Source organism: Homo sapiens, chromosome 5 (assembly GCF_000001405.40).
Source record: "Homo sapiens chromosome 5, GRCh38.p14 Primary Assembly".
In the NCBI taxonomy this organism is placed as follows: domain Eukaryota; kingdom Metazoa; phylum Chordata; class Mammalia; order Primates; family Hominidae; genus Homo; species Homo sapiens.
Genome location: NC_000005.10, coordinates 174,594,946 through 174,622,932, shown reverse-complemented (window position 1 = coordinate 174,622,932; position 27,987 = coordinate 174,594,946). Strand labels below are relative to the sequence as shown.

Genomic DNA, 27,987 nt, shown 5'->3' with positions numbered 1-27,987 from the left:
ACACCCGGCTAATTTTTGTATTTTTAGTAGAGACGGGGTTTTGCCATGTTGGTCAGGCTGGTCTCGAACTCCTGACCTCATGATCCACCAGCCTAGGCCTCCCAAAGTGCTGGGATTACAGGCGTGAGCCACCATGCCTGGCCAAAAGTTTCCTTTTAGAATAAATGCTCTTATGCTTAAAAAAGAGGGAGGGTAGATTTATCTTAGAGGAGGATATAAAGTAAGGAATTGCGCACATGGCATGTGGATGTGATACTCCTGCTGTTGGGGTGGAAGCGCGAGTGGCTGGTGTTAAATGCAGCCTCATGGGACATGTTCTCAAACAACTCCAAGATGTGGCCCCGGTGCAACTTGCAAACTTTGTTGCCTTTTATTCCCCTTCATTTAGGATATTTGCCCCAAGCTTAACTCCTCCCTGCTTTTCCATGCCCCTGCCTCTGGGCTTTACTCACTCTGTTCCCCCTCCTGGCCTGCCCTTCTTTCACATACCATGGCCTACAAGATGCAACTCAGATTCAGCTTAGCTACCGGCCTTCCTTAACTCTTTGCGCCGCCTTTACAATAATAACAGCTACTGTGTAAGTACTTCTTATTGGCCAGGCACTATAGGAACATGCGTATTGAAGGCTGCAGCAATCTGAGAGGTTTGTCCTTATTAAGGGCTGTGGTCAGGACCTGAGCTGAAAGCAACAGGTGCTTAACCTCCTCACTCTTGGTCACCCTTGCCTTTTCTGTGCAGACTCAGAGTCACCTGGGTTTGTCTTCTGCTCTGAGATGGGGAAGTCCTTTTTTTTTCTTTTTTTTCTGTTTGTTGTTGTTGTTGTTGTTGTTGAGACACAGTCTCACTCTGTTGCCCAGGCTGGAGTGCAGCGGTGTGATTTTGGCTCACTGCAACCTCTGCCTCCCCGGTTCAAGCAGTTCTCCTGCCTCAGCCTCCCAAGTGGTTGGAATTACAGGTGCATGCCACCACGCCTGCCTAATTTTTGTATTCTTAGTAGAGACGGAGTTTCATCATGTTGGCCAGGCTGGTCTCAAACTCCTGACCTCAGGTGATCCTCCCGCCTCGGCTTGCTGGGATTACAGGTGTGAGCCACTGTGCCCGGCCTGGGAAAGTCCTTAAAGACACATTTGTGAATCACTCTCCAACCGTGGAGGGGCTGGCATCTTTCGTGGATTCTGTGAGCCTTGAACCAGATTTTGTTGCCATTCTCCTGATATTCAAGCTGGGTGGGGCTGCAAACCTTTAGTGGGAATATGTAACAAAAAAGTAAGTATACTAATTATTTCAGGAGATAAGTCCTCACCTACCTTCGAATCCTTGTAAAAGTGGGGTTCCCACTGGGGGTGGTGTCCCAGAGTAGTGGAACAGCCGGAGCTTGAGTTTTCTCTCCACAGGACCCTGGGCAACAACTTTCTCCAGCTCTTTGAGCCTCAGTTTCTTCATCTGTAAAACAGGGCTGCTGGGAGGCTGAAGTGCAATCAAGAAAATAAAATGTCTGACCCTGGGCCTGCACGTAGTAGGTCCTTCATTCATCCCAGCTGGCTTTCTGCCCACCTCTTCTCATCCTTCCTGCCCTTGGCTTGCGTGGCACGTTCCCATGTGCACAGGTCATTCAGACTGTTTGGATAGACGACTGTTTCACTAGCAGGAGACCTTTGAGCAATTGACTGCTGAAACCTCACTTTCCTAATCTGTGAAATGGCGATGATAATCTATTTACCCCCAAGGCTTGTTGTGAGCATTAATAAGATAATGTGGGATTCATAAATAGTACCTGGCACATAGAAAATTATCTCTTACAAGACATGCCTCTAAACCATCTCATTCATCAACCAAATCTGAACCATCCAATCCCCTTTAACTTCTTGTATTTTTCCCGCCTTTCTTGCTTACAGCCACAGAAAGATTTCAAATTCCACGGTAAGTACCAGGTATGAAGAGGCAGAGATAGGAAGGAAATATATGTACAAAGTTGAGGGCTCCTAACAGCTTGAATTACTGAACATGGGACAAAGACATGGAAAATCTGACTTAAATGTGTAATTCACCTGAAGTTCTCTTCAAAGTCCAGTTTTTTTCACTTTGTTCCAAACGTTATCAAGACAAACAGATGCTCCTAAACTGGGAAAATCCAGGTTATGGTGAAGTGAAAAAAATGTTCAGTTCAAGGCCTCATGTACCTATTTTACATCCACTGAGGGCCTTTGGACCCAAAGTTGAAAGATCATCCTGGTGTGTCCAGTCTTAACGGCGAACACAGACATGGGAGGAAGTGCTCCTGGAGGAGCTCCCTGGTGCTGAGAGAGGGGGTGCTGCAGGATGGAAAGAGGAGAGGTCAGAGCAGTTCCAAAAAGGCAATAGCCAAGACACTGATGAGGCAGAATGAACATTTCTGGTGAGGCTCCAATAGCTGGCCTTGGAAACCATGTCCTGGGGCATCATTTAGGATTTATCATTTGCAAGCACAGAAACAGACATTCACTGACTAAGGGGAGAAGGGGCATACTGGAGGGAGGTTGAGCAGCCATAAAGTGGACAGAAAGCCACACTCGGAAAAGGACAGAAACTGGAGTTCTCTGGGGCTTCTGAGGGCCAGAACCGCTGGACAGCCTCATCGGTGATGGGATGTGATGGGCTCCAAGGGCTTGTGTTTTTTCTTTCTCTGCATCACTTGGTTTACAATTCCAAGCCCAGGGAGAGAGACCTCGACTGTTTTAGCTGAGATCACATACCCACCCAAGACTACAGGGTGAGTGGCGGGCACTTCAGGTGATAGCGACCCCATAACCGCACCTAGAAAAGGAGGGGTACTTCTCCAGCTAGAAATGAGAGTGATACAACGATGCGGGACTACTATATCCAGTACAATGTCTAGCACGGTGAGTGGGCCAGCTCCTGGAGAGTGACAGAGAATGATGGTTCACTGCCTTTTGATCCTGTATTTATTAGCCTTCAGTCTAAGCCAGGCCCTGTGTTAGGTGCTAGGAAAAAAGATGAATGAATAAAGGAGTCCAAGGCTGTGAACCCGTTCCTTGACGCCAATTCCCTGCCTTCTAGGAGTGAATTTTCTAGAGCTAGGGAGGTATGAAATCGAGACAGCTAGAGGATGGGAGTGGGCCCCAGGGGCTGCCCATGATAGGTCCTTAATGATGTTTGCTGAGGGAGTGGATGTCAGAACAGCAAGGACAGAAAGAGCCTTGCTTAGGGGAAACTGCAAGAAGTGGCTTCCCCAGGCCACTTTTACTCCCACACCAATGGAGTCTCAAGACTTGCTTGGCTGAAACATCTTCACAAGATTATCAAAGCCTAAAATTTTTGGCAAACACTGGGACAAATCAGGCATAGGGAGGCACAGCCCAAAAGCCTCATTTGAGGAGGTCGACCCTGGAGGAGGTGGTCTCACATATCCCTCCCCAGCAGTCATCTGTCAGGAGCCCCATGTCCTGATGGCAGGGTGACAGGGCACACAGTAGGCTCAGGATGTGGTCATGGAAGGAAGGAAGAGACAGGAGGAAGACAGGAAGGGACAGAAGAAATGCATAAGCAAGAAGGGAAGGAACTTCAAAATGAACAAGCAATGGGAATATGAAAAACTGAATACATAAATGAATTATGAGAGGAAAGCAGGCAGGCAGGGGGAAATGGAAGAATAAATGTATGCAGGTTTAAGAGAATCCAGACCCTACCATTTACTAGCTGTGTGATCCCAGGCTCATCCTATTACTTAGCCTCTGGGGCTTCATTTTCCTCATCTGTAAAATGGGCCTAATTCTGGCACCTCTCCCAGAAGGTCATGGTGAAGACCACATGAGGGGATGGATGCTAAGCACTTGGCTTGGCGGGAGAGCTCAGAGCGTGTCAGATATTGTAACTAACAGGCTGAAAGATGCAAGTGAATGAATGAATTAATAAAAGAAACCAGGAGGAGGGAGAGAGGATCAGGAGAAGACAGTGAAGGGCCTTCATCTGGTTCTCTCTGTATCTTTTGTGGCCAGCCAGGGCTAGAGACTGTCAGCCTCACAGACAGGGTACCTCTCCCACCCTGCCCAGGCCCAGCCTGTTTGATTTCAGGAGGAAGATAAGATGCCTGCACTGCTTTTTCATCTCCTGCGTCTCCAGCCCTTCCCCCATTTCACCACCCCCTTGGCAATTGGGGCCTTCAAAGTCCTTGCTGGCTCCAGATCTGTAGATAATCGTTTACTGTAATCCTACCCAGGAAAGGAGCTGATAAAGTCCAGATGGAGTGTGAGGTCTTCAAACTCACTTTCTCTGCCCAGATAACGCTGCTGGGGCCTCTCAGGAGTCCCCTTCTCTCCTAGGGGGAGAGACAAAGCGGGCAGTGGTTGTGTAGCACATGCATTGTAGCACATGACTTGTTTATTAGGAAAATCTCTCGATCTCCTGGGCATGGTTCAGGGAGGGTGGGTGGATGGAGAAGGAGCACTAGATTTGAAGTCAGAACAGATTGGGTTCCAATTAAAATGGCAGCATGAATCCCCATTTTCCAGAGTACTGGGAGCATTCAGGAATGCACTGGACATGGAAAGACCTGGGCCAGGGGGAAGGCTGAGGCCTTACCTTTGTTCTGTGAGGATCTGGCACGTCAGTCAGACTTCCCCAGGTGGCCCAGGGAGGCTCTCCTCGCACCTGAGCCACAGGACGGAAACCAGCTGGGTCCCGGACCTACCCACCGGAGGCAGCCGTAAGACCCTGCCTTGCAGTCAGACAGGCCTGGTTTGATTTCAGCCCTTTCCTTCACTGGCTGTGTGACCTTGGGCAGGTTGCCAAAGCTCCCTGGGCTTCAGTTTCCTCATCTGCAAAGGGCGTGCTAATAATCCCCACCTCAGCGGCTGGTTGAAAAAAGTCAAATGAAATAGCAGACAAGAAAGCACGCTGTGATTAGGAAAACATGCAAAAGCAAGAGGCTACTCTTCTCGCCACTATCAAAGTGGAGAGGCCATGTGGTTAGACGTGGTCAGGGGATGAGGGAAAGTTCCACCCACATACTCAAGACCCAGTGCTCCTGGCCACAGTAACACCCATCGGCCCATCTGATCCCTGAGCTCCCCTGAGGAGGTCCACGACTTTCCAGGTTAAGGTGTGGTCCTGGGCTGTGGGGTGGAGGCCCAGGGCAGTGGCAGCTCTGGACATGCCCTGCAAAGGGTGAGGGATCAGGGATGGGCTAGGGGCCCCCGAGGGGGAGGGCTTTGACTTCGCATCATTCCCCCGCCTCACCCCCTTGCTTTGACTTTCTATCCCTTTCATAGACCCATTACGTAAATCCATCCAGATTGAAGATCTGACCCTACCTACTTCTAAGAGGATTTAGAGTATTTTAAGATTAAAACCCAGAGCAAAATAAGTCTTTTAAAGACATTGTCTGCTGCTCAATCTCATAATGAGAAAAATGCAACCGAAACTACAAGAGATGCCCTTTGTACTTACCAGGTTGGCAGAGATGAGAAGCCTGATAATGCTCTGAGCTGGTGAGTTTGTAGGGGAGCAGGCATGCTCACCACTGTTTGAGACAGGGAAACATGTGTACAGCCTCTTTGGAAGGCAACTGGGTTATAGTTGTTAAAATTAAAATGTGCTTTTTTTTGGACCCTGCAATTCTAGCATTTTATCTCCCAGTTATACTTGCAAACATGGGCAAAGGCATGAATACAAGGATTTTCGCTGTGGCTAATGCCTGTAATCCCAACACTTTGGGAAGCCAAGAGAGGCGGATCACTCGAGGTCAGGAGTTTGAGACCAGCCTGGCCAACATGGTGAAACCCTGTCTCTACTAAAAAATACAAAAAAATTAACCAGGCATGGTGGTGGGCGACTGTAATCCCAGCTACTCGGAAGCCTGAGGCACGAGAATTGTTTGAACATGGGAGGCGGAGGTTGCAGTGAGCTGACATCACGCCACTGCACTCCAGCCTGGGCAACAGAGCGAGACTCTTAATAAAAAACCAAAAAACCAAAAAAAAACCCAAGAATTTTAATGGTACAATTACACATTGAGAAAAACATGAAAAGTACCTAAATGCCTATTATTAGGGAACTGGATTAATAAATTACATCGTAGCCATTCAAAGAAACATAACACAGTCTAGAGCATGTATAGTATGCTCTTCTGGGTGTGTGTAGAGGATATACACAGAGACTTGTATGTGCACAAACAAGCTTTGAACTGACTACAATAATTGCGTCTAGGGAGGGGAGCTGAATGCCTGGGGCTCACAAGTGAGGGGAGATTTACACATCACTATATTTTAAAACTATCTGAACTTTTTACTATATGTATGTATGAATTATAAAATAAATAAATATCTAAAGATGCTCCTGTCAAAAAAAATCAAGAAAACGTCAACAATCAAAACCAGAAAACACCACACACACACACACATACACACACACACACACACAGACAACACATCTGAAATTCCCCATAGGACGGCATAGCAGTTTACCTACCCAGACACTCAATAAATATTAAAAACAAAGTTTTGAATTACCTCATGAAGGAAGCAGAGTAAATGTTCTCTGGCACTTGAACTGAACAGATTTATAATACTTGTGCAATATATTTTGCTGTCAGTTTGCGGATACAAAGAAAAAATGGCAAACAGGTTACACTACATAGTTTGCATTTTCTGACATCAGAAAGTCCATACGTTAGTCTACTGAGATAACATTTCTCTTGAACCAACAAGCAATTAGCAGCTTCCCCCTTGCTCTCTGGACCCTCCCCAGAAACCTGAAATACTGATGGGTTGGTGTCACTCTGTGAGTCTCAGTTCCCTGATCAGCAAAACAGGCAAAATAACCTCTCCATAGTGTTGTGAGGAATAATTGGAAACATGTGGGTACCAGCACATTGCAGAAGCTTTGAAGGCACTCAATAGGCATTAGTTTCTCTCCCTTCCTTTAAGCACTGGAAAAGACTAATTACTCTGGGCCAATGACATTTACCTTCATGTCTCACTTGATACAGCAAATTTCAGTGCAGTTACAATGACTGTTTTACCTCTGGATTAGTGGAAAATGGTCATCCTCATTCAGAAATGAGGGTGCCATCTTCCTGGAAACAATTGGCCAAGCCTGATTACATGTAGCAACTATGAATTACACATTATAGAGTACTGACATTACTTTTCAGTTCTTGGCTAGAACTGACATTATTTTACAGTTCTTCATATTCAATGGAAACTTGGCTAAGTTAACTATTCCTCATTGATATAATTAAGAGTTTCTATTCAGGTGCTCTGGGTTCCAGGTTTTTCTCTAGGAGAGTCATGTTATATTCAGATGCATTTAGACTGGGTGTGGTGGATCTTGCCAGTAATTCCAGCACTTTGGGAGGCTGAGGCGGGTGGATCACCTAAGGTCCAGAAGTTAAAGACCAGCCTGGGCAACATGGCGAAACCCCTTCTCTACCAAAAATACAAAAATAAGCCGGGCGTGGTGGCTCACGCCTGTAATCCTAGCTACGTGGGAGGCTGAGGCACAAGAATCACTTGAACCTGGGAGGTGGAGGTTGCAGTGAGTTGAGATCGCGCCACTGCACTCCAACCTGGGTGATAGAGTAAGACTCCTTCTCAAAAAAAAAAAAAAAAAAAAAAAAAAAGAAGATGCGTTTAGCTGCAAGCAACGGCAACCCTAACTCAAGGTAAAACAGATAGAGTGAGCTTTAGGTACAATTGATTCAGCAACCAAATGATGACATTGGAAAGCCAGGTTTCTTCCATCTTTCCGGCCTGCTATTCTTACGGCTGGCTTCACCCTCAAGTTGGTAGCAAGATGGTTGCTGCAGATCCAGGGTTCCAACTAAACACTAAAACATCCTGAGGAAGAAAAGAAACCATCATTTTTCCTAGTTCCGTCTTAGGAGCAAGGAAACTAAGAAGTTACTCAGTACACTTCTCACATCATAGGCTGGAGATGGGTCACATGCTCATTCCCAAACCAATCATGGAAAAGAGCATGGTTACCTTTGGACCAATCAGGCTTTCCCCTGGAGCTAGGGGGTGGGCTGGCTGCCGGGGAGCCAATTGTACCTGCTGCATTGTCATATGCAGACAAATTTTAAAATGGCTTCCCATGATCCTTAACTCTCACACCTTTGTGTAATTCTCTCCCTTTAAGTGTGGGTGGGACCTCTGGTTTCTAACCAAGAAAATATGACAAAGGTGATGAAATGTAACTCCTATGATTACCTTACATTGTGAAAGTTTCTGTCTTGTTAACTGACTCACTCTAGAGACTCTCTTTGTTGGCTTAAGGAGGTGAACAGCCATGTTGGAAAGCCTATATGGCAAGGAGAAGCTGCCTCTGGGAGCTGAGAGCACCCTCTAGCCCACAGCCAACAAGATGCTGAGGGCTTGCCTCTTCCAACCACAAGGAAATGAATTCTGCCAACAGCCCAAGCTAGTTTGGAAGTGAACTCTTCCCTGTCAAACCTCCAGATGAGAACACAGCCCTGTCAACACCTTGACTGCAGCCTTGAGAAGATCTTAAACAGAAAACCCGACTAAGTGGTGCCTGGATTCCTGACCTACAGAAACAGTGAGAAAATGCATGTGTGTTTTAAACTACTAAATAGGTAGTAAGTTGTTATGCAGCAATAGAAAATTAATACAGTCAGTATCTTTTTGTTTTAATCAGTGACAATGATTTAATTTTTAAAAATGTTTTGTGCCAGTGAGGAAGAAAATAGCTTTGCCTGGAGAAATATGTTGAAAAGAGCTTTGGAGGAAGGGGTCTTTCCTCAGGGTCTGGGTGGCAGCAGGTGGCAAATTCTCAGAGGATGTGGGAAACTGCTCTGTAAAAAAAAAAAAAAAAAAAAAAAAAAAAAAAAAAATGGAGAAAGCTCAGAAGGAATTTGAGCTTCCAGGAGCTTTGGGAACAGAGAGGGTAAAGGAGGAGAGTCTGAGTCTTCAGGGATTATGGAGAGTGTGCACTTCAGGACTGGCCTTGACTTGCATCCTTCTCAAACCTTTAGTAAGTTCACATAAGCTTCATATGAGTGCCCAGTGGTGGGTCAGGCAAAGAGGAGCGCAGTTTCACTTCTGGGTTGAGCAGGTATAGAAAAAGGCAGAGCTCTGGAGGCGGGTCCTGGAGGACCAAAGCTCCCATAACACCATCTCCTCAGTAGGGGCAGAGTGTATTCATTCGCTAGGGCTCCCGTAACGAAATACCACAAACTGTAAGACAGTGGCTTCAGCAACACGATTTATGGTCTTACAGTTCTGGAGACTGGAAGTCTGAGATCAAGGTGTTGGTAGGGTTGGTTCCTTCTGAGGGTTCTGAGGAAGGAACTGTTCTATGCTTCCTGCCTAGCTTCTGGGGGCTGCTGGCAGTCCTTCACATTCCTTGGCCTGTAGAAGCACCATCCCAATCTCTGCCTTCATCTTCCCATGGCATTCTCCGTGTTTGTGTGGGTTCGAGGGGTGGGGCAATCTCCAAATTTCTTTTTCTAATAAGGATGGCAGTTATATTGGATTAGGGGTTCACCCTACTTGGATGTGGCTGTACTTTAGCTAATTAAGTCTACAGCAACCTATTTCCAAATAAGGGCACATTCCAAGGTACTGGGGGCTGGGACTTCAACATATAAATTTGGTTGCCAATCTCCATGACATGGAGGTTGGCAGGAATCTGGGGTAGCACTAGATTTCTACCAGCTATGGAGTTGGGTTAGAAGAGGTAATTTTGGCTTCATTTGAAGAGGTTGATAGGGCCTAACTGATATCACCATGTGAAGAAACTTTCCAAGATTTGTCTGAAATTGCTCAAACATAACAGTATTCTTAGGAGCAGTTGCTTCCTCAAAACATTCTGCAAAATGCCCAATAACCATTTCCCTGAGAACAGTGTGTCCTGCTGTCCCACAGCCCTGCCATGCCATTCTTTTAACTATGATTTGTGTCTCATCTCTCCAGTGGCAAGGAGAAAGTGCTTGAACTTTGCTCCTCTTAGTGGGGAAAAAGTCCTGCAGATGAGATCAGGGATGAAGAGGCCAGCCTCCCTGGAGACAGGGTTGGATGCTCCAACACTTCCTGGATGCCACTGTCAAATGGCACAGCTCAGCGTTTCCTTGCCAGAGATGAGTAACCTTTGGGCGTTTCCCATTCTTCTCCTATCTGGAGACCCAGCCACCAAGACAACAGGTCTAATTGACTGCAATTAACTATCTACATGTCCTTTTTAAAGAGCACTCTTGCTTGAATTCTCTAATTGACTCATTTTCTTCTGTGACAACACAGGCTAAAAAGTGGTATTTCAAGGGAGAATGAGGCAGAGCTTATTACATTATCAACAGTTCAACTCAGCATGTGCTGAGGAGATAGAGGCAGTGTCCTTGGAGGCAGAAAAGACACTCATTCTTGTCTCTATGAAAGACAGCTTTCACAGATTGATTTCTCCCTCCCTTCACCTCTCCCTTCCTTTCTTTCTCTCTCCTTCCACTTAGTGTATGCCAGGCACTAAATTCACAGAATGTTAGAACTATAATGATCTTAGAAACTATCTAACAAGGGCCGGGCACGGTGGCTCACGCCTGTAATCCCAGCACTTTGGGAGGCCGAGGCGGGCGGATCACGAGGTCAGGAGTTCGAGACCATCCTGGCTAACACAGTGAAACCCCGTCTCTACTAAAAAACACAAAAAATTAGCCAGGCGTGGTGGTGGGTGCCTGTAGTCCCAGCTACTTGGGAGGCTGAGGCAGGAGAATGGCGTGAACCCAGGAGGTGGAGCTTGCAGTGAGCCGAGATGTGCCACTGCACTCTAGCCTGGGCTACAGAGCAAGACTCCGTCTGAAAAAAAAAAAAAAAAAAAAAGAAATGATCTAACAAGATTTCCAGATAGGGGAACGGAGGCTCAGAGAAGGGAAGCAACCTGTTCAAAGTTACACAGCTTTGTGAATACCAAACTTAACTCAATTCCAGGCTCAGGGGTTACTTCATGACCATCATGAATATTTTGGGAAGAGATAAACCATACTGGATTTTCCTGTAAAGGAGAGCTATGAAAAGTTGTTCTCTATTCACCACCATGGCCCTCCCCGACCCCTTCGGCCCCCCCGCCCCCGATAATGATCTGGTCGATAGATTGATTTCCGAATTCGCTTTTTAAGACTCTAGCTTTCTTTATTTGTTTTCTCATTGGAACCAAGATGTTTTTCTAAAGGACAACAATTCTGGAGATGTGCCTGGTACAAACCTAGAATAAAGGCAGAGAAAGAGCCAATGGCAAGAAGATTCATTACACAGCAACAGAACAAGCAAACAAAGCAGCAGCAGCAACAACAACAACAAAACCATGGAGTTTGTTGGCAAAAGCTGATGTGGCTCAGGTTCTGAGGTTCTCAGGTTCTGAAATCAGGTTCTGATTTCAGGTTCTCTGGAACAGTGGCCCAACCTTTGTGAATCTGGAGGGAAGCCACTCAAAGCCAGCCACTAAAATCACCTTACAAACGGCCTTCGCCAAAACTTACTGTCACATGACACTGAGCAATAAGCCCAGAGCCGTGAGTCCCTGGAGTGCTGCAGAAGACAGCCTTCGTGGAGACGATGATCCGGGATTCCAATGAGACATGGGTTCTCCACTTCGTCTCGCCATGCCATGGCACAGATTGACCTGTTACAGGTCAGTGCTAGTGCATCTTTCCTCCCTGGTTTGCTTTCAATCAGAATTCCCTCCTTGGTCTCAGCTGAAGAAGGGCAAGTGTAGCAGCTGTATTCTTACGCAAGAACTTTGGAGGCAGTCCCAGGTCGGAATTCCAGCTCTGCCACTACTGGTTGCGTGATCTAACACACATTACTCAAGCTCCTCATGCTTCAGTTTCCCCACCTGTTTCACGGTGGTAATAACAGTACCTGGTTTATTGCGAGGATGAAATGAAATGAGGTATGGAAAGGACTTAGCACAGTGCCTGGAAGATGGGGGTGGCTCAGTAAGCCCTGATTCCTTCCCCGCTCAAGGCCTGAGAGAGTGTACTAGACTCATGGACTCACAGCTGCAAGTCACCGTGGATGATCCTTTCCACCACGGCTGCAAGAGCTTTCATGTGGCTAAGGTCATCCTCCAGGGAGCTTGCTAAAAATGGAGATTTCCAGATTCCACCCCCGGAAGATCTGATTTAGCAGATTTGGGTTGGGGCCCAGGCATTTCTCTGCATCTTAACCAGATTCTGAGGGACCCATGAGGCACACTTTGAGAGACCTCTGCATATAGTCAACCTGTGACTGCAAGAGGGGAAGGGTCGTGTCACCTCTGTCTGCTTCACTGTTTCTCCCCAGGGGAGTGCATGACACATGATAGGGGCTCATGGGCCAAATCTCTTAAAACAAAATGAAATCAGCCAGGCTCAGTGGCTCACACCTGTAATCCCAGTATTTTGGGAGGCCGAGGTGGGTGGATCACCTTAGGCCAGGAGTTCAAGACCAGCCCGGCCAACATGGTGAAACCCCATCTCTGCAAAAAACTAAAACATTAGCCGGGTGTGGTGATGGGTGCCTGTAATCCCAGCTACTTGGGAGGCTGAGGCAGGAGAATCACTTGAACCTGGGAGGCGGAGATTGCAGTGAGCCGAGATCGCACCATTGCGCTCCAGCCTGGGCAACAAGAGTGAAACTCCATCTCCAAAAAAAAGAAAAAAGAAATCTCTAGTTCAGAGGCCCCAAACTCAAGTGGTCACAAAATCAGCAGGCTGGGAGGAACTGTTGACAACTGGGACTTAGGTTTCCTGAAGAAGTGGCAGCTGCTACCCAGCTCCTGCCCACATCTGCCCTCTTGGACAGCAGGCCCAGCATTGTCAGATTTCCCAGATTTTTGCAAAAGAATAAAAAAATGTAGAAAGTAGTGTTGAATCTCCTAATTTTTACAAGTTGGAAATAATTGACAACTAATTAAAAAAACAGCTGGGCACGGTGACTCACGCCTGTAATCCCAGCACTTTGGGAGGCTGAGGCTGGCAGATCACGAGGTCAGGAGATCGAGACCATCCTGGCCAACATGGTGAAACTCTGTCTCTACTAAAAATACAAAAATTAGCTGGGCATCGTGGCATGCGCCTGTAGTCCCAGCTACTCGGGAAGCTGAGGCAGGAGAATCACTTGAACCCGGGAGGTGGAGGTTGCAGTGAGCCGAGATCACGCTGCTGCACTCCAGCCTGGCGACAGAGCAAGACTCTATCTCAAACAAACAAACAAACAAACAAAAACTCACTTGTGGGCCAAACAAGACATGTCTGTGGGCCTGACGTGGCCCGTGGGCTGCCAGTTGGTCATTTGGGGTCTGATCCCACATTCTCATGTGACAGATGAAGAAACTGGGGACCCAAGAGGGGATGGGAGTTACCAAAGCTTTGCAGTCAGGGGCGCTTTGGAGCCAGGATTGGACTCTGCTTCTGCTCTGCAGTGGTCGGTGCCTTTACCAGGCACAGAGCAGCAGGGAAGTGTCCGCCTCCAGAAGCATCCACAGGGCTTCCCCCAAGCCAGGTCTCCAGGCTCTCTGGGTCGTCTCCCTAGTCCTGCTCAGCCACCACTGGGAGATGAGGAGAAGGCTTCTGGGGCCGAGGCCAAGCCTGCAGCGGAGCTTACTCATCGCCCTGCTGCCACCTTCGCCTTTGATGTCTCGATGTTCCAGTTCTGGCACCCGGGAGGCCGCGGCACCAGGCTGCCTGCCCCTGCAGCATCCTCACACCAGAACGGCTTTTGGCAGGGTTTTCCGGGGACTTCAAAGGTGGAAAATTGCCCTGGGATAACTTCTTGAAGGCGCCGTACTGGTGTGAACAGCAGCAAGGGGAACAGTGAGATCAAAGTGGTCCCCAGCCCCCGGTTACAGGAAGATGAGGCCCAAGCCCACTCTCTGCTGAGCGCGGGGCATGAGCTGGGGCCTTCGTGGCAGTGCAGAGTTACGTGGTCAGATTCAGAATCCACCTTCTCACCCGCTCCCCTCTTGGTATTACCGGAAGCCCTGGTGTGATTGGCAGGGATTATGCTGACTAAGTGTTTCTCACCCTGTCTTCTGAGCCCGTGGCCTATTCTTTGGCTTTCTTGGGCCTCCCCAGGCACAGCCCTGTGTCTGAGGAGGAGGGGCCACTCGGTGTGACCTACTGGGAGCCCGCGACTGTGCGAGCACAGGGCAGCCAGCCAAGTGCTGATAAATTTCTTCCTCTTGGGAAGTGCCAGGCAGCGCCCCAAAAGGGAAGTGATCCGTGGGCCAATCTGCTAATGATTTATTGCTTGGTCTTCAGGCCTGGTACCTGTGGCTCCAGCTGCAGTCGGGCTGTCTGGAGAACCCTTCCAGCAGGCATCAGGGAGCTTGAGGTAGGAAATCAAGCTGCCAGCCACCAGCCACCAGCCACTGCCACCACCGCGGCCCTTGCTACCCAGAAAGGGCTGCTTCTGTTTGTTCTGTTTTGTCTTTTTTTTTTTTTTTTTTTGAGACGGAGTTTTTGCTCTGTTGCCCAGGCTGGAGTGCGATGGTATGATCTCGGCTCACTGCAACCACTGCCTCTTGGGTTCAAGTGATTCTCCTGCCTCAGCCTCCCGAGTAGTTGGGATTACAGGTGCCCACCACCACGCCCAGCTAATTTTTGTATTTTTAGTAGAAACAGGGTTTTACCATGTTGGCCAGGCTGGTCTCGAACTCTTGATCTCAGGTGATCCACCTGCCTCGGCCTCCCAAAGTGCTAGGATTATAGCCACAGAACAGGAGCAGGGCTCTAATGACCAGCACAGGGCACTCTGTAGAGTGACGTGTTGGCACTCAGCTCTGGGGCTTGCTTGGCGCTGTCAAAATTACCCGGAGACTCGATGCTAACAAGCAGCTGGAGCGAGAGGAGGAGTCCTGCCCTGCGCGGCTCAGCAACTGCTCACCACCATGTTTTAAACATGAAAGAATTCCTTGTTTACAAAAGCAGTAAGTGCCCATGGTAAAAAATTTCAAACAGGCTTAAAATGAAACATATCTCCCCTTTTCCAGTCTCACCCCCAAGAAATAAACAATGTCAGAAGTTTCTGGTTTGAGAAAACATGTATCTTTTTCTATTTTTTTTTTTTTTTTGAGATGGAGTCTCGCTCTATTGCCCAGGCTGGAGTGCAGTGGCGCGATCTCAGCTCACTGCAGGCTCCGCCTCCGGGGTTCAAGCAGTTCTCTGCCTCAGCCTCCCGAGTAGCTGGGATTACAGGTGCCCGCCACCATGCCCACTAATTTTTTTGTATTTTTAGTAGAGACAGAGTTTCACCATCTTGGCTGGGCTGGTCTCAAACTCCTGACCTCGTGATCCACCCGCCTCAGCCTCCCAAAGTTCTGGGATTATAGGCGTGAGCCACCGTGGCCTGCCGAAAACATGTATTTTGTCAAATGCTCTTCAAAAATCAGCTCTCACTAGAGACAATCTTCTTCAATTTTATTTCCCTGTAATATGTCTTTCCATCATGAGGAGATACATTTTGTAAGCACCTCCACGGTGCTCTGTTGTATGAGTGTGGTTTATTAACCGGGTGTCTGTGGCTGATCTTCTCAGTTGCTTCTAGTTTTCCGCTTTTACAATCAAGTGACAATGGACATTTGTAGGTTCTATGCAGTGGTATACTTGTTTGAGTATATTTCTGGCTTTCATGAACACATGAAAACTTTTCTCAATAACACTTTGAGGGAAGGATGATGGCAGGCATTTTCCAGATGAGGAAAATAAAGCTCAAAGAAGTCAAGTGATTTGCCCTGGCTCACCTATCTGGGGTTTATAACAGCAAGGGTTTACTCATTCAACAGGGGTTATAGACGTGCATGAACGTGACTGCTGTCATTTCCAGCCACAGCACTGGACACAGGATCAACAAAACAGCTAAAGTTCTTCCTTCTTGGTGCATACAATCTCGTGGGGGAGGTTGAACTTGTACAAATTGTGCTAAGTGCTTTGAAGGAAAAGCCAGCTGGTATGAAAGATAATATCAAGTAGACTGAGTTTAGATTGTGCAGTCAAGGAAGACTTCCTGGAGAAAGCCACATTTAAACTGAGTTGTAACTATCGAAGAATGCAAGAAATGAGAAGCTTCCAGACAGAGGGAGAAGCATGCACAAAGGCCCAGACTGGGAAAGTTCCTGCTAGTGGTGTTTAAGGACGAGATGGAACATGGTTGTGGCTGGTGAGTGGTGGATCCAGAGGGAGAGTGGAGAGAGAGGAGGTCAGTGAGACAGGCAGAGGCAGGACCACACAGAGCCCTAAGGACAACGGAAAGGGATTCTGGATTTGATCAGAATTCCGTGAAAAGAAACTGGGGCTGGAGGAGGGAACCTTTAGCTGTTTTGTTTTAGCTGTTTTATGGGGAAGCTTTAGGACATTGTGGTGGAGCCCGGAATAAAACAAACCCAGCGGCTAGCAGGGTTTTCACCTTTTGAGTGATAATAATAAAAGCTAAATGTATGGCATGTGTACTATGTGCCAGCCGCTGTGCTTAGTGCTTTTCTTGTTACCTACTTGAATCCTGACAACAGCCTTTGGAGGTAAGTGCTATTGCTGTCGTCCGGCTTTTATATGTGAGTAAATTGAGACCAGAGAGATTAAGTAACTTGTCTAAACACATCCAGCTAGTTAAGTACCCATGGTACATATGTCAAGATAGACCATATCCTGGGCCATAAAACAAGTCCTAATAAATTTGCAAGGACTGCAATCACACAAAATGTGTTTTCTGACTGCAGTGGAATTAAATTAGGAATTAATAATAAAAATATATCTAGGAAAACCCCAAATGTGTGGAAATTAAATAACACATTTTGAAGTAATTTATAGACCAAAACCAAAATTATACAAGGAAGATTATAGCATATTTTTGTTTTTTGGGTTTTTTTGTTTGTTTATTTTTGAGAAGGAGTCTTGCTCTGTCACCCAGGCTGGAGGGCAGTGGCACGATCTCGGCTCACTGAAACCTCCACCTCCCGTGTTCAAGCGATTCTCCTGCTCAGCCTCCCGAGTAGCTGGGATTACAGGAGTGCATCCACTCGGCTAACTAATTTTTGTATTTTTAGTAGAGACGTGGTTTCGCGTTGTTGGTCAGGCTGGTCTCGAACTCCTGACCTCAGGTGATCCACCTCAGCCTCCTAAGTGTTGGAATTATAGGTGTGAGCCACCGCGCCCGGCCTAGATTATAACATATTTTGCACTGAAAGATAAATACAAATGCAATACATCAAAATAATGTCAGATGCAGCTAAAGTAGTGTTTAAGGGGAAAGTTACAGCTTTAAATGCTGACATTAGAAAAGAAAAAAATGTCTAAAGTCAATGACCTAAGTTTCTACCTTAAGAAAATAGGAAAAAAAAAACAAAGTCAATCAAAAGTAAATATAAGGAAAGAAATGATCATGATAAGGACAAAAACTTATGAAACAAAACAGACAATAGAGAAAATTAGGAAGTCCAAATCTTTTTCTCTAAAAATAATTAACAAAACTGAAAAGTCCCTAACTAGACTAAGTCATGAAAAAATCAATCATCCATATCAGAAATTTAAAATGGACGATTACCACAGGTCCTAAAAACATTGAAAAATATAATAAAATACTATGAACACCTTTATGCCAATAAATCTAATAAATTAGATGGAATGAGCAAATGTCTTGAAAAATAGAACTCATCAAAATTGACATGAGAAACATAAACTCTAGCCCTAACCTATTTAAAAAATTGAATTTGTTACTTAAAAATTTTTCCTTCCAAAATACTCCAGGACCACATGGTTTCACTGGTAAATTCTGTCAAATATTTCAGGAAGAAATAACACCAATATTTCATAAATATTTTTAAAATTAGAGAAGGCAGAATCATTCCCAATTGTATAAGTCTGGTATACCTTAAGCACCAAAATCTGGCAGATATTTTTTAAAAAATTATAAACTTAATATTTTTATAAGCATACACCAAAAATTAGCAAAAAAATAGAAAATTGAATCCAACAATATATACAAATGATAATAAATCATGACTAAGTAGGATTTATTACCCAAAATGAAAGCCTAGTTTAATATTTGAAAATCAAGCTATCAGCCGGACGTGGTGGCTCATGCTTGTAACCCCAGCACTTTGGGAGGCCGAGGCGGGTGGAACACGAGGTCAGGAGTTCAAGACCAGCCTGGCCAACACAGTGAAACCCCATCTTTACTAAAAATACAAAAAGTCCTGGGCATGGTCGTGGGCACCTATAATCCCGGCTACTTGGGAGGCTGAGGCAGGAGAATTGCTTGAACCCGGGAGGCGGAGGTTGCAGTGATCCAGGATCATACTACTGTACTCCAGCTTGGGTGACAGAGCTAGACTCTGCCTCAAAAATAAAATAAAATAAAATAAGTCTATCAATGTAATACCAAAAGCAACAGAATAAAGGTGAAGAAACCATAGGATGATTTCAATAGATTGTGGAAAAGCATTTGAAAGAAGAAATTCCACCCATTCAAAATAAAAACTTATAGCAACCTAGGAATAGTAGGGAATATCCTCAAACTGCTAAAGATCATCTATTTTTAAACAAAAATCTATAGCGAACATCATTCTTTTTTTTTTTTTTGAGACAGTCTCGCTCTGTCACCCACACTGGAGTGCAGTGGCAGAATCTCGGCTCACTGTAAGCTCCGCCTCCCGGGTTCACACCATTCTCCTGCCTCAGCCTCCCGAGTAGCTGGGACCACAGGCGCCCACCACCATGCCCGCCTAATTTTTTGTACTTTTAGTGGAGATGGGGTTTCACCGTTTAGCCAGGATGGTCTCGATCTCCTGACCTTGTGATCCGCCCGCCTCGGCCTCCCAAAGTGCTGGGATTACAGGTGTGAGCCACCGTGCCCAGCCCCATCATTCTTAATGATGAAAGGTTGAATTGTTTCCCCTGAAATCCAGAAAAAGGCAAGGATGCCTGCTCTCACAACTTGTATTCAACATTATTCTAGGGAATCTAGCCAATGCAACAAAGCAAGAAAAAGAAACAAAAGGCATAACATTTGGGGAGGAAGAAATAACTCTACCCCTGCTTTCAGGTGCTATAATAATTTATGCAGAAAATTCAAGGGAGTCTAAAAAGTAACTACTGGAACTAGTAAATGAATTTAGCAATGCTGCAGAAGACAAGGTTAATATACAAAATTAATTATAACCCTTATGTTGGAACATCAAACAACTGATAACATTAAGCAAACAATTCTGTGTATGGTAGTACCAAAACATTAAATACCTAGGAAAAAATCTAATATAAAATACCTAGGAAAAAAATCTAACATAAGACATGCAAGAGTTGTGGTGGCTCACGCCTGTAAGCCCAGCACTTTGGGAGGCTGAGGCAGGCGGATCACGAGGTCAGGAGATGGAGACCATCCTGGTCAACATGGTGAAACCCCGTCTCTACCAAAAATTCAAAAATTAGCTGGGTGTGGTGGCACGTGCCTATAATCCCAGCTACTTGGGATGCTGAGGCAGGAAAATCACTTGAACCAGGGAGTCGGAGATTGCAGTGAGCCGAGATTGCGCCACTGCATTCCAGCCTGGGCAACAGAGCAAGACTTCATCAAAAAAAAAAAAAAAAAAAAAAAAAAAAAAAAAAGACATGCAAGACTTCTACACTGATAATTACAAAGCAATGCTGGGGAAATTAAGAAGGACCTAAATAAATGAAAAAATATGTCCTGTTTGGTTTGGAAGACTCAATATCGTTAAGATGGTGCTTTTCTCCAAATTAAGCTACAGATTCAATGCAATCCCAATAGAAATTTTAGAAAGTATTCTAGTGGAAATTGACAAACTCGATTTCCACGAGAAAGTGGGTATAGAATAACAAAAACAAAGGGTGTAGAATAACAAAAGCAATTTTAAAAAAAGTTGGATAATCTACCCTATTTGCTTTTAAGACTTACTATAAAGCTACAGTAATCAAGACAGTTCAGTATTAGTGAAAATGTAAACATATAGCTCAGTGGAACAGATTAGAGAGTCCATAAATTGACACACATGTATTGGTCAGTTGTTTTGATACAGGAGCCAAGGCAATTCTGTGAGAAAAGACGACTTTTCAACAAATGGTGCTAGATAAATATGCAAGAAAAAAGTGAATATTGACACAAAACCCACACCATGCATAAAAATTGAATCAAAATGAATTACAGATTCAAATGCAAAACTTAAAACCACAAAACTTTTAAAAAGAAACTATAGGAGAGGCCAGGCACGGTGGCTCACACCTGCAATCCCAGCACTTTGGGAGGCCGAGGCGGGCGGATCACGAGGTCAGGAGATCGAGACCATCCTGGCTCACACGGTGAAACCCCGTCTCTACTAAAAATACAAAAAATTAGCTGGGTGTGGTGGCGAGCACCTATAGTCCCAGCTACTCAGGAGGCTGAGGGAGGAGAATGGCATGAACCCAGGAGGCGGAGCTTGCAGTGAGCCGAGATCCTGCCACTGCACTCTAGCCTGGGTGACAGAGTGAAACTCTGTCTCAAAAAAAAAAGAAAGAAAAAAGAAACCATAGGAAAATATTTTTGCATCCCATTTCTTACATAGAACACAACAATCACAAATCATAAAGAAAAAATGATAAATTATACTTCAATTAAAATAAGACACCTTTGTGCTTTGAAAGACACCATTAAGAAAGTGAAAAGGGTCTGCAACCCAGTGAGAAAATAGGCAAAGATTTCAACAGATACTTCTCAAAAGAAGAGATGAGAATGACCCATAAGCACATGAAAAGCTGCTCAACACCATTAGTCATCAGGGAAATGTAAATTGAATGACAATGAAATACCACTACATACCCACTAGAATGGCTGCAATCAATGGTGTGTTGGTAAATGATTAACAGCTGTTCTGGGTGGAGTAGAGGTGAAGGAAGTCTGATTAGTAGCATTTGCCAGTTTCTATGGAGTAAATATTTCCACCATGGTTGATTTCAAGGTACCAACAAGAAGTCGCTGAACCCAGAATTGGGAAAAGATGCAGAGTTGGCTCCCACAAGCTGGTGCAAGCTGGGTCCAGCACACCACTGGCTAAAATTTTTAAAACTGTACCAAGTGTTGGCAAAGATGTGGGATAGCCAGAACTCTCATGCACTGCTGTAAGGGACATAAGAAGGTAAAACCACTTGGCAAAAATGGTTTTGCAGTTTATAAAAAAAGTTAAACATCATCTGCCATGCAGCTCAGTCATTCAACTCCCAAGTGTACCCAACTACCCATGGCTGTTCACAGCAGCTTTATTTGTCCTAGCCAAAATTGGAAACAACCCAAATGTCCATCAGCAGATGATTGGACACTGTGGCGTTCATACGCTGGAGTATTAATCAGCAATAAAGAGGAATGAAATGTTGATACATGAACTATGTGGACGAATCTCAAAATCATGGTGTTGAGTGACACAAGCCAGACAACAAAAAGAGTTCATGAGATATGATTCAATATATAAAGTTTTTGTTTTTTGTTTTTTTCTTTTTGTTTTTTTTCTGAGACAGAGTCTCGCTCTGTCACCAGGCTGGAGTGCAGTGTTTTTGTTTTTTTTAAAGTATGCACGAATAGAGTGACAAAGCATATCAGTGGTTGTCGGGTAAAGTGATGGAAGGAAGGCTGGATTACAAAGGGTACAAAAGCCATCTTTGGTGGTCAAGGAAATTTTTTTTTTAAGATGAAGTCTTGCTCTTGTCTCCCAGGCTGGGGTGCAATGGCATGATCTTGGCTCACTGCAGCCTCTGCCTCCCGGGTTCAAGCGCTTCTCCTGCCTCAGCCTCCAGAGTAGCTGGGATTACAGGCACCTGCCACCATGCCCGGCTAATTTTTGTATTTTTAGTAGAGACGGGGTTTACCATGCTGGACAGGCTGGTCTCGAACTCCTGACCTCAGGTGATCTGCCCGCCTCAGCCTCCCAAAATGCTGGGATTACAGGCATGAGCCACTGCACCCGGCTAGTCAAGGAAATATTTATAATCTTGATTGTGAAGATGGATTCATGGAGGTATACATGTGTCAAAACTGATCACATTGTGCACTTTCAATATATGCCATTTAGTGTACTTCAATTGTATGTCAGTAAAGTTGAAAAATATTTTAAAATACAAACTCCAGGGTTTGACCCCAGAAGTGGGAAATGGGAGAACTGAGAAAGATTCTGGGTTTTCAGTTTAACAGACTCATCAGCTGGCTTCTGTAAAGTGTGAGACCTACTAAAGAAGAAACCTCCAAATTAGATCCGGTGGGACAAGTTTAACTCTTAACGTTGATAAAGGAAGATGTGTTTATACTTCCAAGTGGGGTTTGAGGAGTTTTAACACTCAAGCAGTAGTATTTGCTTATTCTAAGTGTCTGCAGTTGTGCTAGGTGCTCTCACCTGCGGGGAGATTTGCCTGACGTTTCCCAGCTGTGATGTGGCAAAGCTGGATTATTTGATGCAACGCAGCTGAAAGCTACAGGACTCGCTTCCCCTCCACCACTTTGTAGCTGGGTCTCTCTGTATCGTTTATCTTAAAACAACCACCATCATTTGTTTTGCTCATGATTTTGTAATTTGGGCAGGGCTTGATGGGAATGGTGAGTCTCTGCTCCACGCAGGGTCAGCTGGGGTTCTCCGCTGGAGGCTGAAGGAGCCTCTTTCAAGCCACCTGCTTTCCACCTGGGAGCTCCGGCACAGTTGTAGGGATCTCCGTAGAGATCTTGCCATGGGCTGCCTTAGAGGGCTTCCTTGCGGCACAGTGGCTGCCTTCCAGGAGAGGGTGTTAAGGAGCACCCGACTGAAGTTGCAGTCCTTTTAGTGATCTGGCAGGAGTACAAAGTGTTACTTTGACCACCTGATCAACTTCCTCCTTTAACACCCTCCCTCTTGTTCACCCTCCTCCAGCCATCCTGTTCTTTCTTTTTCTCTCAAACTCCAGGTGTGCTCCTGTTTCAGTGTGTCTGCACCTTTTGTCCCCTCTGCCTGAAACACATCTTCCTGCTCCACAGAACTGCCTCCTTCCCACCCTGCAAGTCTCAGCCAGACGTCTTCATCTCAGAGAGGCTTCCCTGTCTCCTCTTTCCTTCCCACTCCTGCAACTCTCACCAGCACCGTGCAACAAACAGAACTTTCTGCAGCGATTGAAATATTCTTTATCTGTAACATTCAATGCAGTGGCTACTATCCAGGAGACTACTGAGCCTCAGAAGGTGGCAAGTGTGACTACAGAACTGTATGTTTTTATTTAATTTTAACGAATTGAAAATTAAAAATAAGTAGCTAAAGAAATGTAGCTAGTTGCTATCATATTTGGAGAGATCAGCTCTATCCTGTTACTCCATCATATTTTTTATTTTTGGTTTTTAAGTTTTTATTTTTAATTCTCGTGGGTACATAGTAGGTGTATATATTTTGGAGCACATGAGACATTTTCATACAAGCATCCAATGGGTGATAATCACATCAGAAAAAATGGGGTATCCATCACCCCAAGCATTTATCCTTTGTGTTTCAAATAATCCAATTATACTCTGTTAGTTATTTAAAAATGTACACTTCCTGGCCTGGAGCGGTGGCTCATGCCTGTAATCCCAGAACTTTGGGAGGCTGAGGCAGGCAGATCACGAGGTCAGGAGATTGAGACCATCCTGGCTAACACGGTGAAACCCTATCTCTACTAAAAATACAAAAATTAGCTGGGCGTGGTGGCACACACCTGTAGTCCCAGCTACTCAAAAGGCTGAGGCAAGAGAATCGCTTGAACCCAGGAGGCCGAAGTTGCAGTGAGCTGAGATTGTGCCACTGCACTCTAGCCTGGGCAACAGAGCGAGACTCCATCTCCCCCGCCTAAAAAAAAAAAAAAAAAAAAAATGTATGATTACATCTTGTCTTCTTCGTAACAGTTGTCAGTATTCACAATTATCTTGTCTATATAGTTTTAAAATTCTGGTAAGAACATTTAACATGAGATCTACCCTTTTTACAGATTTTTAGGTATATACTATGGTATTGTTATCTATAGGTATTTAATTTATGTTTTTAACTAGTTATTATGACAAATGTAATTCTATAAAAAATGGCCAGACTGCTAGTATAAACCTGTGTCTATCCTTCATCTGGAATAATTTTTTTTTTTTTTTTTTGAGATGGAGTCTCACTCTGTCGCCTAGGCTGGAGGGTAATGGCGTGATCTTGGCTCATTGCAACCTCCACCTCCCCGGTTCAAGAGATTTTCCTGCCTCAGCCTCCAGAGTAGCTGGGATTACAGGCATGTGGCACCATGCCTGGCTAATTTTTTGTATTTTTTTAGTAAAGACAGGGTTTTACCTTGTTGGCCAGACTGGTCTCGAACTCCTGACCTCAGGTGATCCACCTGTCTCGGCCTCCCAGAGTGCTCGGATTACTGGCGTGAGCCACCATGCATGGCTCATTAGTTGTTAACCTTTTGTCAAATATGCTTTATTTTCAGTGAGAAGAAGGAAAAAGTTTAGGAGATCTATTGTACAACACGGTGATTATAGTTAATAACAATGTATTGTATACTTTAAAATTGCTAAGAAAGTAGATTTTAAATGTTCTTACAAAAGTATGTGAGTATTGCATGTGTTGATTAGTTTGATTTTTAGTCATTCCAAAATGTATGTATATACATAAAAAAATCATGTTGCATACTATAAATATATACAATTTCTGTCCATTAAAAAAGTATAAAGAAGATAAAGTATGCTTTATCTTCTATGTGGGCATATATAATCTTTTTGAAGTGCTGGCTGAGCAATTTGAGAGTCAGTTGCAGACATCATAGCACTTTACCCCTAAACACATCAGCGTTCCTAAGAATAAGGACATTCTCCTAAATAGCCACCATGCCATTATCACATTCAAGAAATTTAACACTCACACAGTCCTTCTATCTAATATTGATACATACCGTCGTTTGGTATGTAGTCCATATTCAACTTTCACAAATTGTCCAAGAATATCTTTCATGGCAGTTTCTTCTTCCAATCTGGGATGCAATCCAGAATCACTTGTTGTGTTTGCCTTGTCTCCTTACTGTCCTTGAATCTGAAACAGGTCTCAGCCTTTCTTTCTTTCATGAGTTTTGCAGTTTTGAATGGCAAGGAAACATCTTCGGTTTTGTTTTGTTTTTCTGTTTCCTCATGACTGAACTTAGGGGATGCATTTCTGAGCAAAAGTACTTAGTGATGCGGTGTTCTTTTCAGCTTGTTGTACCAGGAGGCACACGATGTCGGTTTGTCCTATTATTGAAAATGTTCACTTTGATCACTTGTCAAAGATGATACTCCCAGAGCACTCCATTGTGAAGGCACTATTTTACCCCTTGGCAAACTATAACAAATATGTAGGAAGATCCTTTGTGAATATGTGAATATTATTCTGCTCCTCATCAAGTTTTCATTCAATGGTTTAACATTCATGGATTTGTACCTGAGTCAGTTATTGCTGTGGACTTGCAAAATGTTTTTTTCTATTTGTTTCCTTCTAAATTTATTTATTTATATTTATTCATTTTTGAAACCGAATCTTGCTCTGTCATCCAGGCTGGAGTGCAGTGGCACGATATTAGCTCACTGCAACCTCCACCTCCCAGGTTCAAGCGATTCTCCTGCCTCAGCCTCCTGAGTAGCTGGGATTACAGGTGCCCGCTAAGCCCAGCTAATTTTTGTGTGTTTTTTTTTTTTAGTAGAGATGGGATTTCACCATGTTGGCCAAGTTGGTCTCAAACTCCTGACCTCAGGTGATCCGCCCATGTTGGCCTCCTGAAGTGCTGGGATTACAGGTGTGAGCCACCACACCCGGCCTATTTCCTTCTAAATTTATTAGTTGGCATTCCACTTTAAAGAAAAGCTTTCCCTCCTCCTTTTATATGAATGTATTTATTTGTTTGTTTGAATTAGAATGGACTCGAGATCTCATTCAGTGTGTTATCATCCATTACTGTGATAATTCACTTTGATCTTAAAATGTATCTAGATCAGGTTGGTGGGGGCCCTGTAAGCTGATGTCTTATGTTCTTTTGACCTGTCTTCATCAGTCTTTCAGGTCTTACCTTACTTTCTGGCACAGTAAGCTGCTCCAGGCTTACCTTATTTGTTTCCTTGTTAAAATACTTACTAGGTGTTAAATACTAACTGTCTGTCTCCTGCTAGAAGGTAAGCTCTTCCTTCTCTGCCACCATTCTGAGCACTTAAACCCTTAGGTACAAATTGACCAAGAGAAGCCCTAGAAATCCACTTCTAAAACCCCTAAAGATTATTCTGCATGAACAGCTAAGAAAGTTCAAATTCCATGCATTTCTTAGTTGTTTGATCATAACAGCAGAGTGTGGAGCCATAAGGCAGCCTAAGTGGTTAAGAACTTGGGCCATGGGGTCAGACCTTCCCAGCTTCCTCTCTGAACTGTATTACTTCTTAATTGTAGATCTGGACAAGTCACTTTTCTCTGAGTCTCAGTTTCATCTTCTTTAAAATGGGACACTACTAATGTACCTAGCCACGTGGTTGTCATAAGGACTAAGAGAATATACGTAAAGTGCTTAGCACAGTGCCTAGAATATGATAGACGACCAATAAATAGTAGCTATTATTGGCCAGGCGTGGTGGCTCATGCCTGTAATCCCAGCACTTTGGGAGGCTGAGGCAGGCGGATCACGAGGTCAGGAGTTCAAGGCCAGCTTGACCAAAATGGTGAAACCCCGTTTCTACTAAAATACCAAAAAAAAAAAAAAAAAAAAAAAAAAAAAAATTAGTGGGGCGTGGTGGCAGGCACATGGAATTCCAGCTACTTGGGAGGCTGAGGCAGGAGAATCGCTTGAACTAGGAGGCAGAGATTACAGTAAGCCAAGATTGTGCCACTGCAGTCCAGCCTGGGTGACACAGCAAGACTCTGGCTCAAAAAAAAAAAAAAAGTAGCTATTATTATAATGTACATTTTCTCATCTCATCTTCCCAGCAGCTCCATGAGGTAACACCATTTATAGAGGAAGAAACGTGAAGTTCAGAGTGGTTAAGTAAATGCCCATGGTCACACTGCTAGATGATGAGGAAGCACAGGTAGGAACAAAATGAGAGGTTTTTCCAGGTATAAAGAAGGGAGAATTAGGGCTGGGCACAGTGGCTCACGCCTGTAATCCCAGCACTTTGGGAGGCGGAGGTGAGCGGATCACGAGGTCAGGAGATTGAGACCATCCTGGCTAATATGGTGAAACCCTGTCTTTACTAAAAATACAAAAAATTAGCCGGGCATGGTGGCACGCACCTGTCGTCCCAGCTACTTGGGAGGCTGAGGCAGGAGAATCGCTTGAACCTGTGAGGCAGAGGTTGCAGTGAGCCAAGATCGCACCACTGCCCTCCAGCATGGGCAACAGAGGGAGACTCCATCTCAAAAAAAAAAAAAAAAGAAAAGAAAAAGAAAGAAAAGAGTGGAGAATTAGGAGTAAGCAGGGCCCTGGAAGGAGCTGGGATGGAGCAGAGCCCTTTCACCCAACTCTCTTGTACCTGTTTAGGCAGGGAGAGTAACTGTCCATTGTACAATGTTGGAAGTACTCAGTAAATTTTTACTCTCAGGGACTCATCTGTGACACCACAGACCATATGATGCTAGACTAAGAATAGTGGTTAATTAAGATCATGAACTTGAGTTTGATCTGGGTTTACATTTTGGGTGGGAAATCTTGGGTAAGTTACCTAACCTCTCGGTGTCTTATTTCCCTCATCTGTAACATTTCAGGGCGTTTGCACTGGCTGTTCCCTCTGCCTGTAATGCTGTTACCTCATTACCCGCATGGTTAACCCCTTTATCGCCCTCACATCTTTATGCAAGTCACTAAGGCCTACCTTGACCACCTTACTTAAAAATAAAATTCATCCTGGCCATTCTATTCCTTTTTAATTGCTCTATTGTTTCCATAGTATTTATCACTAACACTAAGTCACTTACTTATTTATTATTTGTGTTGCTTATTATCTTTCTCACCTCATTAGAAAGAATGTCATCTGCACTAG

General features: G+C 44.7%; 1 long non-coding RNA gene across 2 annotated transcripts, besides 1 other annotated feature; it reads right to left on the bottom strand.

Moving 5' to 3' along the window:
- Positions 1-1,852: 1,852 nt before the first annotated feature.
- Positions 1,853-7,352, bottom strand: LOC105377740 (uncharacterized). 2 transcript variants are annotated; one of them, XR_007059140.1, is made up of 5 exons: positions 6,508-7,352; positions 5,447-5,519; positions 4,580-4,851; positions 4,214-4,316; positions 1,853-2,313 (listed from the first exon to the last, which is right to left on the bottom strand). It is a non-coding gene; the product is annotated as an uncharacterized LOC105377740 (long non-coding RNA). The 2 variants fall into 2 exon arrangements; XR_941262.3 differs by lacking the exon at positions 6,508-7,352 and having other exon boundaries at positions 4,580-5,696.
- Positions 13,798-14,423: an enhancer, noted in NCBI's record as "H3K4me1 hESC enhancer chr5:174035513-174036138 (GRCh37/hg19 assembly coordinates)". NCBI's record gives its function as "activates a minimal SCP1, AML or CMV promoter by ChIP-STARR-seq in naive H9 embryonic stem cells {active_cell/tissue: H9 hESC(naive)}" and the evidence as "EXISTENCE:reporter gene assay evidence [ECO:0000049][PMID:30033119]".